The sequence below is a fragment of the Homo sapiens genome, chromosome 11 (assembly GCF_000001405.40).
Source record: "Homo sapiens chromosome 11, GRCh38.p14 Primary Assembly".
Classification (NCBI taxonomy): domain Eukaryota; kingdom Metazoa; phylum Chordata; class Mammalia; order Primates; family Hominidae; genus Homo; species Homo sapiens.
The window spans coordinates 50,320,511-50,341,162 of NC_000011.10; the positions used below are offsets into that span (position 1 = coordinate 50,320,511).

Below are 20,652 nucleotides of genomic sequence, written 5' to 3' on the forward strand. Positions count from 1 at the left end.
GGATGGGCAGAAGAGGAGGCTGAGCAGCAAGTGAATAGAAGCGCTCGACCTCAGAAGAGGAGAGTCCCATGTCTTTATTGGTAGTATTCTAATGTGGTTCATACTGGAGTTATTTTCTGTGGCTGAATGGTTCAACTACTGTGAAATCCAATGCGGGGGTGGGGAACAACTCCTACTAACCCTTTGAGATGCTGAGTTTTCTTTTAAAGTAAAGGAAATATTACAAGATTTTCTGAAACTGCCAACCTTTAGCAATATTTTCAGACATTCTCCAACATTTTCCTTTGTCGGCAATCAGAGATGACCTTTGTCAGCAATCAGAGATGACCTCCACACTGAGGCGAATGTTCCACTCCCCTTACCCTTTTCCTTTTGTCTCTCTTTCCCTCCTCTCTTCATCCAGTAACTCCAGTTAGCCTCCATTGTCTCCAAGCCGGCTTTTGTCCTCATCCACAACGCCTCCACACAAGCTCTGAACACCTGTCCATGTAAGTGACATCCTGTATGCCTTTATTTTTATTTTATTTTATTTTATTTTTGAGACAGAGTCTTGCTCTGTTGCCCAGGCTGGAGTGCAGTGGCATGATCTCGGCTTTCTGCAACTTCTGCCTCCCAGGTTCAAGGGATTCTCATGCCTCAGCCTCACAAGTAGCTAGGACTACAGGTATGCACCACCACGCACACCTAATTTTTGTAGTTTTTGGTAGAGATGGGGTTTCACCATGTTGGCCAGGCTGGTCTTGAACTCCTGACCGCAGGTAACCCACCCACCTCAGCCTCCCAAAGTGCTGGGATTACAGGTGTGAGCTACGGTGCCTGGCACATGATTTGCTATTTATAAGAACATGAGCTTACTACTTGTGTAAAATTTATCCCTGTATTTTAGTTGGAAGTTAATGAGGTGGTTTGAGGTTTGGTGACTACATCTGGCCTCTCAGGGAAATGGCCAAGTTGTTCAGATGTTCAACTGTATTATATGAAGTTGTTTGTCAGCTTCATTGCTTACTACTGTGAAATAAGTTATAAAGGGAAATTTTTTTATAAAAAGAAATAGATTCAGGCTGAGCGTGGTAGCTCATGCCTATAATCCTAGCACTTTGGGAGGCCAAAGTAGGTGGATTACCTGAGCTCAGGAGTTTGAGACAACCCTCAGCAACATGGTGAAGCCCCATCTCTACTAAAATACAAAAAAAAAAAAAAAATCTGGGAATGGTGAATGGTGGTGGGTGCCTATAGTCCCAGCTACTGAGGAGGCTAAGGCACGAGAATTGCTTGATCCTGGGAGGTGGAGGTTGCAGTGAGCTAACATTGTGCCACTGCCAGCCTGGGTAACAGAGCAAGACTGTCTCAAAAAAAAAAAAAAAAAAAAGAGAAATAGATTTACTCAGGGGAGAGGATCCATTATTAGTAAAACATATCTAGTACCACATGCTTTTTGGTCTCCTAATGACCTATCAAACTACAGCGTTTTTGGCTTTTTAATATATTCAGTTCCACATTTATTCATTCAAGAATTGAAGACATTTTACATCCGCATTATATGCCAAGTACTGGGTGGGGACAATAGGTGACAGAGATGAACAAATCCCTGATCCCAGGATTTCACAGTGGATTTTGGAATTTAGTGCCATTTAGCTTCATTCGATTCTGCAGTAGTCCCAAGATTTTCCAAGATCATCCTGTCCTCCAGTGTCTGGTTGATTCAACTTCAGAATATATCCGAGTCTGTCCTTCACTCCTCACTGCTGCCACCCTGGAACCATCTGCCATCGTCTCTCACCTGGATTATCTCCATAGTCTCCTAACTGGTTTCCTTGTTTCCATGCTTGCCTCTTTCAGTCTACTCTCTCTCTCTCTCTTTTTTTTTGAGACAGTCTTGCTTTGTCGCCAAGGCTGGAGTGCAATGTTGTGATCTTGGCTCACTGCAACCTCCACCTCCTTGGTTCAAGTGATTCTCCTGCCTCAGTCTCCCTAAGGCAGGCCTCTTAAGTGTTGGGATTACAGGCATGAGCCACCACTCCCTCCCAGTCTACTCTCAGTACAACAGTTAGAACAATCCTTTTACAGTGTAATTCAGATCATGTTTACCCCTCTGTTCAAATTCTCCAGCGGCTTTGTTTTCTACATGATCTGGTCCCCTACTACCTGTCTCACTGTGCTTCCTGCTACTCTCCTGCTCTTACTCCTCTTTATAAACACTGAGCTCATGGTGTTTCCTTTAACATGCCAGGCATGCTTGACCTTGTCCTGTCTCTGGACCTTGCTGTTCCCTCTGCCTGGAACATTCTTCACCTAATGTCTTCATGGCTAACTCTCACTGCTTTGGATTTTGGCTGAAAAGTCAGCTTATCAAGGGCCTCCAGGCTGCTCTGCATAAAATATATCCTCGACTCATATTTCCTATTTGATACCTGACTCCTCTTCCTCTTTCACTAAAATGTAAGCTCTATGAGGGAAGGGATTTTTGTCTGTTTTGCTCTGTTGTATACCTAAATACCTAGAAGGTGCTCAGTAAATATTTTTTGGTTGAATGACTAAATCAGTCTGTTATTGAATCAGTCAATGTCCTCTGTAGCAGGGACTTCTCATACCAGTAGTCCATATCTGTATGATAGCTGGTGTAGGGAGGGACATGGTCAGAATGGCTCTGTGTGGAATAGTTTTGCTTAGCATAATCCCAGCAGGCTCCTATTGGGGTTAAGCCACAGTTTTAGCCTTACTAGTATCACTTTTTTTTTTTTTTTTGAGGTGGAGATTTGTTCTTGTTGCTCAGGCTGGAGTGCAATGGTGCAATCTTCGCTAACCAAAAAATCTGCCTCCCAGATTCAAGCAGTTCTCGCTGAGCCTCCAGAGTAGCTGGGATTACAGGCATGCATCACCACACCTGGCTAATTCTGTAAAAATAGTAGAGACAGGGTTTCTTCGTGTTTGTCAGGCTGGTCTCAAACTCCCCACCTCAGGTGATCTGCTCACCTCAGCCTCCCAAAGTACTGGGATTACAGGCGTGAGCCACTGCACCCAGCGAGTATCACTCTTTAATCATAAAGTCAGAGGATGTTAAGATTGGAAGGGATCTGGGAGACTATTTGGTTCACTTTTCTCATGGATGAGAGAATAACAGAGCATTGAAAAGTAAGGTAATTTACTCACAATCATAAAGCTATATGGGTCAATCTGAAATTAGGCTTCTTACATCAGATTCTGTAGTCTTTCCTACATGTGTTCTCCCCAGACTAAGACAGTTCATGGGCCTTCAGGTTTGACAATTTTCTCTCCAGTCTCTAAACAGGAGCTTTTATCTGGACATTCTAGGTTAGCATAGATGGACAATGACCCTGCAATGTGTAGCAAATCCCAAAGGTTGACCACTGTCAATGGGAACCACCCCAGATGTGTCAGGAGCACCACAGGCATGCTCACTCTTCCATTCACTGGAGCTGTGTAGGGTGGAAAGGAAACCCAAATCAAGACCCTCTGCTGCTTTAGTTATTTTATTTCATGTCACAATCCAATGTGTCTCCATTTAAATTCAGATTTTTTGATAGATGGTCAGACCAGCTATAGGCCCTTTGGGCCATAAGTCTTGATCTTTTTTTTAATTTTATTATTATTATACTTTAAGTTTTAGGGTACATGTGCACAACGTGCAGGTTCGTTACATATGTATACATGTGCCATATTGGTGTGCTGCAACCATTAACTCGTCATGTAGCATTAGGTATATCTCCTAATGCTATCCCTCCCCCCTCCCCTCACCCCACAACAGTCCCCGGTGTGTGATGTTCCCCTTCCTGTGTCCATGTGTTCTCATTGTTCAATTCCCACCTACGAGTGAGAACATGCAGTGTTTGGTTTTTTGTCCTTGCGATAGCTTACTGAGAATGATGATTTCCAATTTCATCCATGTCCCTACAAACAACATGAACTCATCATTTTTTATGGCTGCATAGTATTCCATGGTGTGTATGTGCCACATTTTCTTAATCCAGTCTATCATTGTTGGACATTTGGGTTGGTTCCAAGTCTTTGCTATTGTGAATAGTGCCGCAATAAACATAAGTGTGCATGTGTCTTTATAGCAGCATGATTTATAATCCTTTGGGTATATACCCAGTAATGGGATGGCTGGGTCAAATGGTATTTCTAGTTCTAGGTCCCTGAGGAATCTCCACACTGACTTCCACAATGGTTGAACTAGTTTACAGTCCCACCAACAGTGTAAAAGTGTTCCTATTTCTCCACATCCTCTCCAGCACCTGTTGTTTCCTGACTTTTTAATGATCTCCATTCTAACTGGTGTCAGGTGGTATCTCGTGGTTTTGATTTGCATTTCTCTGATGGCCAGTGACGATGAGCATTTTTTCATGTGTTTTTCCGCTGCATAAATGTCTTCTTTTGAGAAGTGTCTGTTCATGTCCTTCGTCCACTTTTTGATGGGGTTGTTTGTTTTTTTCTTGTAAATTTGTTTGAGTTCATTGTAGATTCTGGATATTAGCCCTTTGTCAGATGAGTAGGTTGCAAAAATATTCTCCCATTCTGTAGGTTTCCTGTTCACTCTGATGGTAGTTTCTTTTGCTGTGCAGAAGCTCTTTAGTTTAATTAGATCGCATTTCTCAATTTTGGGTTTTGTTGCCATTGCTTTTGGTGTTTTAGACATGAAGTCCTTGCCCATGCCTGTGTCCTGAATGATATTGCCTAGGTTTTCTTCTAGGGTTTTTATGGTTTTAGGTCTAACATGTAAGTCTTTAATCCATCTTGAATTAATTTTTGTATAAGGTGTAAGGAAGGGATCCAGTTTCAGCTTTCTACATATGGCTAGCTAGTTTTCCCAGCACCATTTATTAAATAGGGAATTGTTTCCCCATTTCTTGTTTTTGTCAGGTTTGTCAACGATCAGATAGTTGTAGATATGCGGCATTATTTCTGAGGGCTCCGTTGTGTTCCATTGGTCTATATCTCTGTTTTGGTACCAGCACCATGCCGTTTTGGTTACTGTAGCCTTGTAGTATAGTTTGAAGTCAGGTAGTGTGGTGCCTCCAGCTTTGTTCTTTTGGCTTACGATGGACTTGGCAATGCAGCCTCTTTTTTGGTTCCATATGAACTTTAAAGTAGTTTTTTCCAATTCTGTGAAGAAAGTCATTGCTAGATTGATGGGGATGGCACTGAATCTATAAATTACCTTGGGCAGTATGGCCATTTTCATGATATTGATTCCTCCTATCCATGAGCATGGAATGTTCTTCCTTTTGTTTGTGTCCTCTTCTATTTCATTGAGCAGTGGTTTGTAGTTCTCCTTGAAGAGGTCCTTCACATCCCTTGTAAGTTGGATTCCTAGGTATTTTATTCTCTTTGAAGCAATTGTGAATGGGAGTTCACTCATGATTTGGCTCTCTGTCTGTTACTGGTGTATAAGAATGCTTGTGATTTTTGCACATTGATTTTATATACTGAGACTTTGCTGAAGTTGCTTATCAGCTTAAGGAGATTTTGGGCTAAGACAATGCGGTTTTCTAGATATACAGTCATGTCATCTGTGAACAGGGACAATTTGACTTCCTCTTTTCCTAGTTGAATACCCTTTACTTCTTTCTCCTGTCTGATTGTCCTGGCCAGAACTTCCAACACTATGTTGAATAGGAGTGGTGAGAGAGGGCATCCCTGTCTTGTGCCCGTTTTCAAAGAGAATGCTTCCAGTTTTTGCCCGTTCAGTATGATATTGGCTGTGGGTTTGTCATAGATAGCTCTTATTATTTTGAGATATGTCCCATCAATTCCTAATTTATTGAGAGTTTATAGCATGAAGAGTTGTTGAATTCTGACAAAGGCCTTTTCTGCATCTATTGAGATAATCATGTGGTTTTTGTCTTTGGTTCTGTTTATATGCTGGATTACATTTATTGATTTGCATATGTTGAAACAGCCTTGCATCCCAGGGATGACGCCCACTTGATCATGGTGGATAAGCTCTTTGATGTGCTGCTGGATTCGGTGTGCCAGCATTTTATTGAGGATTTTTGCAACGATGTTCATCAGGGATATTGGTCTAATATTCTCTTTTTTTGTGGCATCTCTGCCAGGCTTTGGTATCAGGATGATGCTGGCCTCATAAAATGAGTTAGGGAGGGTTCCCTTTTTTTTGTGTTGATTGGAATAGTTTCAGAAGGAATGGTACCAGCTCCTCCTTATACCTCTGGTAGAATTCTGCTGTGAATCTGTCTGGTCCTGAACTTTTTTTGGTTGATAGGCAATTAATTATTGCTTCAATTTCAGAGTTTTTGTTATTGGTCTATTCAGAGATTCAACTTCTTCCTGGTTTAGTCTTGGGAGGGTGTATGTGTCCAGGAATTTATCCATTTCTTCTAGATTTTCTAGTTTATTTGCATAGAGGTGTTTATAGTATTCTCTGATGGTAGTTTGTATTTCTCTGGGATCAGTTATGATATCCCGTTTACCATGTTTTATTGCATCTATTTGATTCTTCTTTCTTTTCTTCTTTATTAGTCTTGCTAGTGGTCTATCAATTTTGTTGATCTTTTCAAAAAACCAGCTCCTGGATTCATTGATTTTTTGAAGGGTTTTTTGTGTCTCTACATTCTTCAGTTCTGCTCTGATCTTTGTTGTTTCTTGCCTTCTGCTAGCTTTTGAATGTGTTTGCTCTTGCTTCTCTATTTCTTTTCATTGTGATGTTAGGGTGTCCATTTTTGATATTTCCTGCTTTCCTTTGTGGGCATTTAGCACTATAAATTTCCCTCTACACACTGCTTTAAATGTGTCCCAGAGATTCTGGTATGTTGTGTCTTTGTTCTCAGTGGTTTCAAAGAACATATTTATTTCCGCCTTCATTTCATTATGTACCCAGTAGTCATTCAGGAGCAGGTTGTTCAGTTTCCATGTAGTTGAGAGCTTTTGAGTGAGTTTCTTAATCCTGAGTTCTAATTTGATTGCACTGTGGTCTGAGAGACAGTTTGTTATAATTTCTATTCTTTTACATTTGCTGAGGAGTGCTTTGCTTCCAACTATGTGGTCAATTTTGGAATAAGTGCGATGTGGTGCTGAGAAGAATGTATATTCTGTTGATTTGGGGTGGAGAGTTCTGTAGATGTTTATTAGGTCTGCTTGGTGCAGAGGTGAGTTCAATTCCTGGATATCCTTGTTAACTTTCAGTCTCATTGATCTGTCTAATGTTGACAGTGGGTTGTCAAAGTCTCCCATTATTATTGTGTTGGAGTCTAAGTCTCTTTGTAGGTCTCCAAGCACTTGCATTATGAATCTGGGTGCTCTTGTATTGGGTGCATATACAGTTAGGATAGTTAGCCCTTCTTATTGAATTGATCCCTTTACCATTATGTAATGGCCTTCTTTGTCTCTTTTGATCTTTGTTGGTTTAAAATCCGTTTTATCAGAGACTAGGATTGCAACGCCTGCTTTTGTTTGTTTTCCAATTTCTTGGTAGATCTTCCTCCATGCCTTTATTTTGAGCCTATGTGTGTCTCTGCTCGTGAGATGGGTCTCCTGAATAGAGCGGACTGATGGGTCTTGACTCTTTATCCAATTTGCCAGTCTGTGTCTTTTAATTGGAGCATTTAGCCCATTTACATTTAATGTTAATATCATTATGTGTGAATTTGATCCCGTCATTATGATGTTAACTGGTTATTTTGCTCGTTAGTTGATGCAGTTTCTTCCTAGCATCGATGCGCTTTCCAATTTTGCATGTTTTTGCAGTGGCTGGTACCGGTTGTTCCTTTCCATATTTAGTGCTTCCTTCGGGAGCTCTTGCAGGGCCGGCCTGGTGGTGACAAAATCTCTCAGCCTTTGCTTGTCTGTAAAGTATTTTATTTCTCCTTCACTTATGAAGCTTAGTTTGGCTGGACATGAAATTCTGGGTTGAAAATTCTTTTCTTCAAGAAGGTTGAATATTGGCCCCCACTCTCTTCTGGCTTGTAGAGTTTCTGCTGAGAGATCAGCTGTTAGTCTGATGGGCTTCCCTTTGTAGGTAACCCGACCTTTCTCTCTGGCTGCCCTTAACATTTTTTCCTTCATTTCAACTTTGGTGAATCTGACAATTATGTGTCTTGGAGTTGCTCTTCTCGAGGAGTATCTTTGTGGTGTTCTCTGTATTTCCTGAATTTGAATGTCGCCCTGCCTTGCTAGGTTGGGGAAGTTCTCCTGGATAATATCCTGCAGAGTGTTTTCCAACTTGGTTCTATTCTCCCCATCACTTTCAGGTACACCAGTCAGACGTAGATTTGGTCTTTTCACATACTCCCATATTTCTGGGAGGCTTCATGTATTTCTTTTTACTCTTTTTTCTCTAAACTTCTCTTATCACCTCATTTCATACATTTGATCTTCTGTCACTGATATCCTTTCTTCCAGTTGATCTAATCAGCTGCTGAAGCTTGTGCATTCATCATGTAGTTCTCGTTCCATGGTTTTCAGCTCCATCAGGTCCATCGGTGTAGAGAATTTAAGGACTTGTCTACACTTGTTATTCTAGTTACCCATTCGTCTAATCTTTTTTAAGGTTTTTAGCTTCTTTGTGATGGGTTTGAACTTCCTCCTTTAGCTCGGAGAAGTTTGATCATCTGATGCTGTCTTCTCTCAACTCGTCATTCTCTGTCCAGCTTTTTTCCATTGCTGGTGAGGAGCTGCGTTCCTTTGTAGGGGGAGAGGCACTCCAATTTTTAGAATTTTCAGCCTTTCTGCTGTGTTTTTTCCCCATCTTTGTGGTTTTATCTACCTTTGATCTTTGAGGATGGTGACGTACACATGGGTTTTGGTGTGAATGTCTTTTCTGTTTGTTAGTTTTCCTTCCAACAGTCAGTACACTCACCTGCAGGTCTGTTGGAGTTTGCTGAACGTCCCCTCCAGACCCTGTTTGCCTGTGTATCGGCAGTGGAGGCTGCAGAACAGCGAATATTGCTGAACAGCAAATGTCACTGCCTGATTGTTCCTCTGGAAGTTTCGTCTCAGGGGTACCTGATCATATGAAGTGTCAGTCAGCCCCTACTGCAGGGTGCCTCCCAATTAGGCTACTCAGGATTCAGGGACCCACTTGAGGAGGGAGTCTGTCCATTCTCAGATCTCAAACTCCATGCTGGGAGAACCATTTCTCTCTTCAAAGCTGTCAGACAGGGACATTTAAGTCTGCAGAGGTTTCTGCTGCCTTTTGTTCAGCTATGCCTTGCCCCCAGAGGTGGAGTCTAGAGAGGCAGGCAGGCCTTGAGCTGCGGTGGACTGCACCCAGATTGAGCTTCCCGGTCACTTTGTTTACCTACTTAAGCCTCAGCAATGGCGGGTGCCCCTCTCCCAGCCTCACTGCTGCCTTGCAGTTCGATCTCAGACTGCTGTGCTAGCTATGAGTGAGGCTCCGTGGGCTTGGGACCCTCCGAGACAGGCACGGGATATAATCTCCTGGTGTGCTGTTTGCTAAGACGATTGGAAAAGCGCAGTATTAGGGTTGGAGTGACCTGATTTTCCAGGTGCTGTCACATCTTTGCTTGGCTAGGAAAGGGAATTCCCTGACCCCTTTCACTTCCTGGGTGAGGCAATGCCCCACCCTGCTTCGGCTCACGCTTGATGCGCTGCACCCGCTGTCCTGCACCCACTGTCTGACAAGCCCCAGTGAGATGAACCCTGTACCTCAGTTGGAAATGGAGAAATCACCCATCTTCTGTGTCACTCATGCTGGGAGCTGTAGACTGGAGCTGTTCCTGTTCAGCCATCTTGGAACCGCTGCCCACATTATTTTTGTTTTGTTTTGTTTTCTTTTGAGTTGGAGTCTCACTCTGTCACCCAGGCTGGAGTGCAGTGTCATGATCTTGGCTCACTGCAAGCTCCGCCTCCTGGGTTCATACCATTCTCCTCCCTCAGCCTCGCAAGCAGCTGGGACTATAGGCACCTGCCAACACGCCTGGCTAATTTTTTGTATTTTTAGTAGAGATGGCATTACACTGTGTTAGCCAGGATGGTCTCGATCTCCTGACCTTGTGATCCACCCGCCTCGGCCTCCCAAAGTGCTGGGATTACAGGCGTGAGCCACCACACCTGGCCAATGAAACATTATTATTGGAATAATATAGTTCATAGGTTTTAATGATAAACTTGGGGGATGTGTTAGTTGCCTTCAGATTCAGGTGAGTAGAACACATACATGGAAACAAAAATTGAAGTTTGAAATGAGGCAGAAATGTATATCTTCTTTACATCAAAGAATTCTGGATGTTGGTAGTCCAATATGGAGGTAATAATTCCCTACTCACCAAGGACCCAAACTCTCCGTATCTTTACACTCTACAATACTATTATATGTCTTCAATTCTTAACATTGCTTCATGTTCCAAAATGGCTGCCGAATCTACAGCCTTTATGTCTGCTTTGCAGGCAGGAAGAAGGGGAAAAACAAAAGGAAACACCTCTTAGCTGAGTCAGCATTACTTGTAGAACCTTTCTAGAAGAAACACCCTAATAGCTAGATACATGGAGCATGGAAAATACAGTCTTTTACCTAGACAACCTAACCAAAATATTGGTGGGAATTACATCCTAACCAAAATGTTGGTTCAGGAATATGGCTATTAATTAAGCAGCTTCAGTGTCTGTCAAAGGAGTAAAGTAGTATTTTTGTGAAGCCAGAGAGGATACACTTTGAAGTCGGCCTCTTTCAATCATTGTCTTTTCCTTACATAAATACTTTCTTAATGCAAACACTTATTTGGTTCTTTTTATTTTATGATAAAATCATCCCGTGAACAAGTAATATGTCATGCAAGATGACATATTGCTGGCTTCTGATAAAATGGTAGTGCTACCCTCAACATGGGTAGTGAGATTGAATGGACACTGGGAAGGCTCATCAGACCAAAACCACTCATAATGTATTGCCTAAAGTGTCCATCATAAAAGTTATTGCTTCTGCATGAAGATGATGTGCTTTTAAAACAATCTCACTTAAAGTGAGTATGTGTTAACCATTATGCCATTCAATTCCATTAATCCATTTCTCTGTATTTATCAAATATCATCATGGAAAATATAGAGCGAGGCTCTGAGGGAATAGAAACGGGTTAGGTACATTTCCAAGAGGTAGATGAGAGAGAAGTTGAAAGCAGGGTGTGAAAATGAGGGTGAATTTGGGAGAATCCACCTACCGAGACAGAGTATGTAATAATAATTTCATTTCTGAATAAATGAATGAAATAAAAATACATGCACAGAATAACTTCTCAATAAACTTTTCTGGTCGACTACCAGATAAATGCATGAAGAGACAGATGAATGTATGAATAAATCCTCAAAGGTGAATTTTATCAATGAGGATTCTTTGATTTCTTCATGCCACTATCCCTGCTGGTATGTGTGCTTCGTATAGCCATCATTGAGAGTTGTTGATTATGTTAAATATTAGAGTAACAAATACAAAAAGAACACTCAGAACCATAGATCACATCCCAAACTAAGGGATGGAAGCACTAATGAGGCTGGCCAGAGAAGTAAGCATTGGGTTATTACTATCAGCTTTAACATGTACTTCTTTCATCCAGCACTGAAACAGAGAGACACTCAAAATACAAACACTGAGCATAAGACTAACAGACAAAGACTTTCCTCTCTTGACTATGATCAAATGGGTGTATTCAACTTAACTATGCACTATATCATAACTTTGAGTAGGACTTCCTTTTCTGGTGTGGAGGCTGTGTGCAATAATAGTTAAATACGTAAGTTATGGTTTCAGGAAAATTTGAATTCAAATGCTGCATCTCCACTTACTGGTTGCACAGCCTTGAGCAAATTACTTAACTGTTTCACATCAAAGCTCCCCCATCTTTAAAATGGGAGGAATGCTATTGCCTACCTTGTAAGTAATTGTGAGGATTAGTTGAGGACTCAATGATATCAGCCACAGTTACTAGTCATTATGTGTGGGGATCATGAGCGACTGTATAAGCCAGAGTTCTTCTGAGAAACAGAACCATTAGGAGACATATATGAGAGAGAGATTTATTTCAAGGAATTAGCTTATGCAACCGTGGGAGCTAACCAGTCTACATCTGTAGGGCAAGCTGGCAGGCTGGAAATTCGGTTGTGTTGGTGTTGCAGTCTTGAGTTGGTAGGCTGGGAACTCGGGCAGGGTTTGTATGTTGCAGTCGTGAGTCAGAATTGCTGCTTTCTTGGGAAATCTCAGTCTTGGCTCTGAAAGCCTTCAACTGATTGAATGAGGCCTACCCACATTATGGACACAAATATGCTCTACTTAAAGTCAACTGATTTAAATGTTAATCACATCTAAAAATATTTTCATAGTAACATATACACTGGCATTTGATGAAACAACTAGGTGCCATAGCCTCACCAAGTTGACACATAAAATTAACTATCACAGGGGCACAATAAATGTGCCCATCCACACCGACATTCTTCGCACAGAAACAAGACACAAAAGTTGCAGATTGGAAAGTGCAACTCTAACCTGTATGACAGATAAAGACTAGAATGGAAGCTGTGGTTTGTATTTGCAGGATTCAACGGTTTCAGGTACTCCCACCCTCAACCCTCTGGCAGGTAGATTAACACAACCAACTCAGGCAGTTGTGCCACATAAGACTTACAGCATGGAGAAGCTGGCAAGAACTCACATTTCTACTGATGAGTTAACATCTGAGAGGACAAAAAGGAAGAGCTAGTTTTTTTTTTTTCTGAAATTTTCCAACCAGATAATTCCCTCCTCCTTGCTAAGGTAGAGAAAGTGATGCCACAGGTGAAGCCCCAGTGTTTCTGTCAATTGCACCCTTTCACAGAAAGGAGCTATCGTGAGTCAAGAAGAAACATTTCCCTCAGTATCCTCCTCTCCTCACTACCACCATTGTTTTTATCACCAGCAGGCTGTACTGTTTATATTTCTTGATGGGACCCTCAAAGACTTAGCCTCTGAAATTGAAACTCTGGAGGGTTCTGAGTCTCCCGAAACCTAAGGAAATTTTCCAAGACATATCGAGATAAGTAAAATCCTATATTCAACCAATGGCATATTTCCCCTATCCTAGAAATCACCCTCCTTCCCCTTCCCCCCGAAACTTCAGTTGGGAACCAGCTGGAGTTTATAGCACCAGGCTTAGTGTGGATCTCTTGACACCTCTGAAACAAGTTCCCCATCACATGGGAAAACTGCTCTGCCCTTCCACACCAGGCCTTGGAGCCTCTGCCAGCTTGATGCTGAAGAAGCCTGACATCCCCCAGGTAGGGGACAGCTGAGATCTCTTGGGGTGTCTTGGGACCTGCTTGACTGTCCTTTTGAAGAGCGCACCTTTCCCTCATCTGTAAAGAAGTCTGAGGGCAGAAACCAGATGTGCTGACCTCACCTCTCACCTCTCTCCCCCTGGGCTGGAATCCAGTGTTGCTCACTTCCTATTCACTAGAAGCAGCTTGCCTGGGCAGGACTGGTGTTATACTTTGTTTCAGTCAGCACAGGAAAGTGCAGAGTTGCCTGCAAAAGGCAGATGAAAACTTAAAGTGATCTTTGGCCAGCAGATTCATTTAAAATGCAAATCCACTCAGCAGTGTAGGAACAGTATGGCACAGCCCCCATGTGGTAGATTAGAATGCAGGCTTTCACCACAGCTCTTTGTTCCAAAGCCAGCAGAAACTGGCTAGGCTTGGCATTTATCCTTTTGCACTAAAGCGCGTTGGGGAAATCCCTGAACGAGTCCCTAAAATTCCCGGTGATTGGGGAAGCTTGAAGTAGTCTATTTGCACCCAGCCCTACCTGATTTGAAGAGCTGTATGGAACCAGGAACCAGGAAGAGAATGTGAGCTTTTGAGCCAGTACCCCAACTTACCAGCCCTGAAATCTTCAGCTAATTATTTTATCTCTCTGAGAAACATATTAACCTCTCTAGGCCACATCTTGAGGGGACTCTAAAGCTGACATTTGGGAGTTAACGTTTCCCCTGCTAGGAGAAAATACACATATATTAGTCCATTTTCACGTTGCTGATAAAGATATACCTGAGACTGAGAAGAAAAAGAGGTTTAATTGGACTTACAGTTCCACATGGCTGGGAAGGCCTCAGAATCATGGCAGGAAGTGAAAGGCACTTCTTCCATGGTGGCACCAAGAGAGAATGAGGAAGAAGCAAAAGTGGAAACTCCTGATAAACCTATCAGATCTCATGAGACTTATTCACTATCATGAGATTAGCACGGGAAAGACCGGCCCTCATAATTAAGTTATCTCCCCCTAGGTCCCTCCCACAACATTTGAGAATTCTGGGAGATACAATTCAAGTTGAGATTTGAATGGGGACACAGTCAAACTGTATCACTCCACCCCTGGCCCCTCCAAATCTCATGTCCTCACATTTAAAGAGGAATCATGCCTTCCCAACAGTCCCCCAAAGTCTTAACTCATTTCAGCATTAACCCAAAAGTCCACAGTCCAAAGTCTCATCTAAGTCAATGCAAGTCTCTTCCTCCTATGAGCCTGTACAATCAAAAGCAAGCTAGTTACTTCCTAGATGCAATGGGGGTACAAGTATTGGGTAAATACAGCCATTCCAAATGAGAGAAAATTGCCAAAACAAAGAGGTTACAGGGCCCCTGCAAGTCCAAAATCAAGTGAGGTGGTCAAATTTTAAAGCTCCAAAATCATCATCTTTGACTCCGGATCTCACATCCAGGTCATGCTGATGCAAGAGGTGGGTTCCCATGTTCTTCATCAGCTCTGCCCTTGTGGCTTTGCAGGATACAGCTTCCCTACTGGCTGCTTTCACAGTCTGGCCTTGAGCATCTGCGGCTTTTCCAGGCGCACATTGCAAGCTGTTAGTGGATCTACCATTCTGGTGTCTGGAGGACAGTGGCCCTCTTCTCACAGCTCCACTAGGCAGTGCCCCAGTAGGGACTCTGTGTGGGGGATCCAACCCCACATTTCCCTTCCACATTGCCCTAGCAGAGGTTCTCCATGAGGGCCCCACCCCTACAGAAAACTTTTGCCTGGGCATACAGGCATTTCCATACATCTTCTGAAATCTATGCGGAGGTTCCCAAATCTCAATTCTTGACTTCTGTGCACCCACAGGCCCAACACCATATGGAAGCTGCCAAGGCTTGGGGATTCCCCCCTCTGAAGCCACAACCCGAGATGTACACTGGCCCCTTTCAGCCATGGCTGGAGCAGCTGAGACACAGGGTACCAACTCCCTAGGCTGCACACAGCACGGGGACCCTCGGCCCGACCCATGAAGCCAGTTTTTCCTCATGGGCCTCTGGACCTGTGATGGGAGCAGCTGCCATGAAGGTCTCTGACATGGCCTGGATACATTTTCCCCATGGTCTTGGGGATTAACATTAGGCTCAATGCTACTTATGCACATTTCTATAATTGGCTTGAACTTCTCCCCCCAAAAATGGATTTTTCTTTTCTGTCACATAGGCTGCAAATTTTTCAAACTTTTATGCTCTGCTTCCCTTACAAAACTGAATGCCTTTAAAAGAACCCAAGACACCTCTTGAATGCTTTGCTGTTTAGGAATTTCTTCTGTCAGATACCCTAAATCATCTTTCTCAAGTTCAAAGTTCCACAGATCCTTAGGGCAGGGGCAAAATGCCTTCAGTCCCTTTGCTGAAACATAACAAGTGTCACCTTTACTCCAGTTTCCAACAAGTTTCCTCATCTCCATCTGAGGTCTCCTCAGCTTGGACCTTATTGTCCATATCGCTATCAGCATTTTGGGCAAAGCCATTCAACAAGTCTCTAGGAAGTTCCAAACTTCCCCACATTTTCCTGTCTTCTCCCGAGCTCTCCAAACTGTTCCAGCCTCTGCCTGTTACCCAGTTCTAAAGTCATTTCCACATTTTTGGGTATCTTTTCAGCAACACCACACTCTACTGGTACCAATTTACTGTATTAGTTCATTTTCACGCTGCTAAGAAAAACATACCCAAGACTGGGAAGAAAAAGAGGTTTAATTGGACTTACAGTTCCACATGGCTGGGGAGGCCTCAGAATCATGGTGAGAGGTGAAAGACACTTCTTATAGGGTGGCAGCAAGAGAGAATGAGGAAGAAGCAAAAGCAGAAACTCCTGATAAACCCATCAGATCTCATGAGACTTATTCACTATCACGAGAATAGCATGGGAAAGACCAGCCCCCATGATTCAATTACCTCCTTCTAGGTCTCTCCCACAACACATGAAAATTCTGGGAGATACATTTCAAGTTGAAATTTTTATGGGAACACAGTGAAACCATGTCAACATGGTATAGTGGAAAGAACTAGTTAGGTCTGATATAAATTGAAGATTCACCATGTGTCCACTTGACCTTAGACAATTTCTTAACCTCTCTGGGCCTCACTTTCCCCATCTATAAAAGGCGAACAAGTGGCCAGGTGTGGTGGCTCATGCCTGTAATCCCAGCACTTTGGGAGGCCAAGGCGGGTGGATCACTTGAGGTCAGGAGTTCGAGACCAGCCTGGCCAACATGGGGAAACCCTGTCTCTAGTGAAAATACAAAAAATTAGCCAGGCATGGGTGGCACGCACCTGTAGTCCCAGCTACTTGACAGGCTTAGGCAGGAGAATTGCTTGTACCTGGGAGGCGGAGGTTGCAGTGAGCCGAGATTGTGCCATTGCACTCCAGCCTGGGCGACAAGTAAGGCTCTGTCTCAAAAACCAAAAAAAAAAAAAAAAAAAAAAAAAAAAGCGGGGGGGGGGAGGGCGACAAATAAAACTATCTTGCAGAGTAGTGTCAGGAGAATTAAAATAATAAAGCTCTTGATAGTCTTCCAAAAAGTGTGCTTGCTTGCCCTTTGGTGGTGTTCTTAAAGACTTTCATATTTGGAGAACTGAGATTCAAGTTTCAGGTACAGACAACCACCCTTTTCTGTATTTCTTGATTTTTTTTTTTCTTTTGGCCTCTAATATCTTCCATTTCTCTTATGCTTGTCTGGGATACTCACAAGAGGATCTGTGGCAATAGTAATCTCCTTGATTGCTTGATTCTCTAGGGTCAGTTTGTTCATTGGGTTCTTAGGGAAGGAGTTGAATAGATAAGACAAAATGTTCCCCACATTTTTGCCTAAGCAGCTTGGCACTGATGAGTACTGGCAGCAGCTCCCTGAACTGTGTTATAAATTTCTGACTGCTGCACAAATGTACCACGTGGGACAAAGACAAGCAGAGCTGCCAAATTCTCAGAATAGAGTTCATCCTCATTAGAAAACACCAGGAAGTCCTGTAGTCTGGACAACAGAGAGTCTTATACCTAAGAAGGTTATAAAGTAAAAACATTTTCAGACAGAAACATGCTCCAATAAAATGATAGTAATGTTGGTTAGCAGAGTAGATGAGACTAATGAGATCACTGGGATTAGTATCTTTATAAAAGGGACCCTAGAGAGCTTTTTAGACCTCTTTGGTCTAGAATTGTTAGTGGTATTTTTGAGTTTTTTTAAAAAGAAATGAAAGAATTTGTGTATCTGCATACTAATCCACATGATATTTTTAAAATACTAGTATGCTATATATATCAAGTGCTTAATTTTTGTAAAATGCTTTTCATACAAAACCTCATTGAATCATCATAATGATTTTAAGGCACAGGCATAGTACTGTTCATTTTTAAGGTCAGTAAATTAAGGCACAGAGAAGTTTGATGACTTTCCCAAAGTCTTATAGCTACATGTGAACCCATTTTATAGCCACTACAATGTAGCACCCTCAAAAATCGCAACTACTACTGATAGAGATACAATATTGGGCTTCATACCTACTCTCTGAATTTGTTTAATGTAATTATCTATAAAAACTCAGAAGATGGTGCAATTGACTGAATGTCCTTGTCTCCTCCAAATTCATATGTTGAGACTCTAATCTCCATGAGATGGTATTAGGAGATGGAGCCTTTGGGAGGTGATGAGGTCATGAGGGTGGGAACTTCATGACTGAGATGAGTTCCCTCATAAAAGAGACCCCAGGGAGATTTTTGACCCTTTTTCTGAAATAGAGGAATACAATGAGAAGTTGGCAGTCTGTAACCCGGAAGAGGGCCCTCGCTAGAACTCAATCATGCTGGTACCCTGATCACAGGCTTCCAGCCTCCACAGCTGTGAGAAATTTCTGTCATCTATAACTTAGAGTACTTAGTCAGTTTAGGCTGCTATGCTAATAAAGACAGATGATATTAGTATGCTAAGTTATAGATGAGAGAACTGAGACTCAAATATACAGAGCATTTTCCCAGTACCACACAGAAATCTGGGACTCGAATTCAGGCCAGATGGCAGGCTTCTATATCCACAGAACATCCTGAACTTCACATGGACTTTGCTGCTTCCATGTTCCTCAGACACAGAGTGCTTTTTTATCATAGATAAGGTGTTCACAGGTGACCCAAGGCAATCTCACATATGCAGGAATTACATCCCACCACTCAGTTTCCACAAGGCTGACAAAAGGAATCAGTAGTGCTCACTAAGTATTCATCAGCCTCTGCCTTCTGCACACACAATAGGATCACACCTCCAAGCCCTTAAGGTTGGATGAGGCCATGTGAGTGTTAGTGACCAATGAGCTATGAGCACATGCAACGTGTCACTTTTGGTCTCAACCATTTAATTGCCAATTTGACACCATCCAGAGCTCTTGCCCACAGCATTTGAGATGGCAGCTGCTCCATCAGTCTGGATACCTAAATGACTATCACAGCAATCCTGATGGGTATGTTTCATGAGCAATAATTAAATGTCTGTTATTTAAAGCCATTGTAATTTGGGGACTGTATCCGTCTGTTCTCACACTGCTATAAAGAGACACCTGAGACTGGGTAATTTATAAAGGAAAGAGGTTTAATTGACTCAGAGTTCCACATGGCTGGGGAGGCCTCAGGAAACTAACAGTCGTGGCAGAAGGTGAAGGGGAAGCAAGGACCTTCTTCACATGGTGGCAGGAAAGAGAAGAGCCAGCAAGAGCAGGGAAAATTGCCTTATAAAGCTATCAGATCTCATGAGAACTCATTATCATGAGAACAGCGTGGGGGAAACTGACCCCATGATCCAATCAACCCCCTCCCACGACGTGGGGATTACAGTTCCCTCCCTCAACATGTGGGGATTACAATTCAAGATGAGATTTGGGTGGGGACACAGCCAGACAATATCAAGGGTATTTTTAATATAAACTACAAACAAAACTAGCCTACACTGACTGACACAGAACCAGACCCAAAGGAGCTTTGTAAACCTCCCAAGAGACCCAGCAGGTGTTAGAACTCTCTACACTCAGAATCATAAACTCAAGTGTTACAGGGATCAGGCAAGGCAGGTAACTAAGGAAAGCAGCTGAGCACATGATAGCAGAAAGTGGGAGGGACTAGATCAAACTGGTGAGCACATGCCAAGGAAATGTGGGATCCGTGTTGCTAAATCTTGCAATTTTTCAGAAGAATTTGGATATTTGTGTGACTTTTCCTAATGGATAAAAAACTATGCAGATCAAACAAAACTGAACTGCAGGTTAATTTCATGCCAGGGTTTTCAATTTATATCCCCTGACCCTCTGCCTCAAGCAGGCTCCCATCTATTAGCCATAATTCAAAGATTTAGAGCCAGTCCTGTCAGTTACTTGCTGTGGGACACTGTGGATGTCAGCCTGGTCCTTAGTACTTCCATCTGTAAAATGAGTCCGTGGGAGAAAACAGATGATTCTTTATCTTTCTCGGATAATTCTGCACAATAAAATCTCATATACACATAAACATGCCATCTTATTTACATAATTCATGATTTCCAATGATGGGATAAACCTCAACCCCTGACTACCCCTCCCCACAATAGATCCATGAAATCAAGTCTAAGAAATATGGGCTATATAATGCCAAAGTTTTCATCCATCTGAAAATATCATTTTATCAATGTCAGTTTATCAGGAGGAATGGGATATTTTTCTCCCTGCTGGAGATTCTTAGCATGTCTTCTACTAGAAGAGACATGCTTCTACACGGCTTCTACATCAGAGACATGCTTCTACACGGCTCTGATGTTATAGTTGCTTGTGTTCCGCATAAAAAGGTGGGGCTACAGGTTTTATCATGATGTTTAAAATGGGATGGCACCTCCCACCCTTGTACACTATTGTGCATCATCTAATCAGAGGGAGACCTAATATGTGAGTAGATATGTTGGTTATATTCCTCTGGCTTATGAATTTCTAGGTTCCAATTTAATTCCAGTTTTTCTAATTTAGTTATATTTGGCCTCCTTCAGCTTTGTAATTCAAACCAAATGTATTGCTGCTTTTAAAAACAATCTTTCCAAACTCATATCCAAACTGCCTCTCTCTCAGTGCAGATGATGAGTGGTTTCCACAGAAAGTCTTTAGAATAAATCTCTGTGGTCACATTCTCAGCTTCAGTCTATAACCCTTAAAAATACATCCAGATAGGCCTTCAGAGGGAGCAATTGTAATATTTGTGGGGCCAAGAGCATGAAATCACCCAAGTGAGCATCAAATAAATGAAGCAAAGTTCTACTCCAGCTGGACTCTGATTTTTCTCCCACTTTGATAGCATATGCTGTTAATACTTTCATCAATAGCATGTTTTACAGCCTGTCTTTAATAAGGAGGGTTCCCACTGCATTTATCGGGATCCTG

At 42.4% G+C, this 20,652-nt stretch overlaps 1 long non-coding RNA gene across 1 annotated transcript in view; it reads left to right on the plus strand.

Annotated features, from left to right (window-relative positions):
- The window catches only part of LINC02750 (long intergenic non-protein coding RNA 2750), a 64,973-nt gene that overhangs the window by 21,948 nt on the left and 22,373 nt on the right, over positions 1 to 20,652 (plus strand). The window contains exon 7 of the long non-coding RNA NR_183624.1: positions 404 to 488. This is a non-coding gene — a long non-coding RNA (long intergenic non-protein coding RNA 2750). The remainder of the gene's footprint in view (positions 1 to 403; positions 489 to 20,652) is intronic.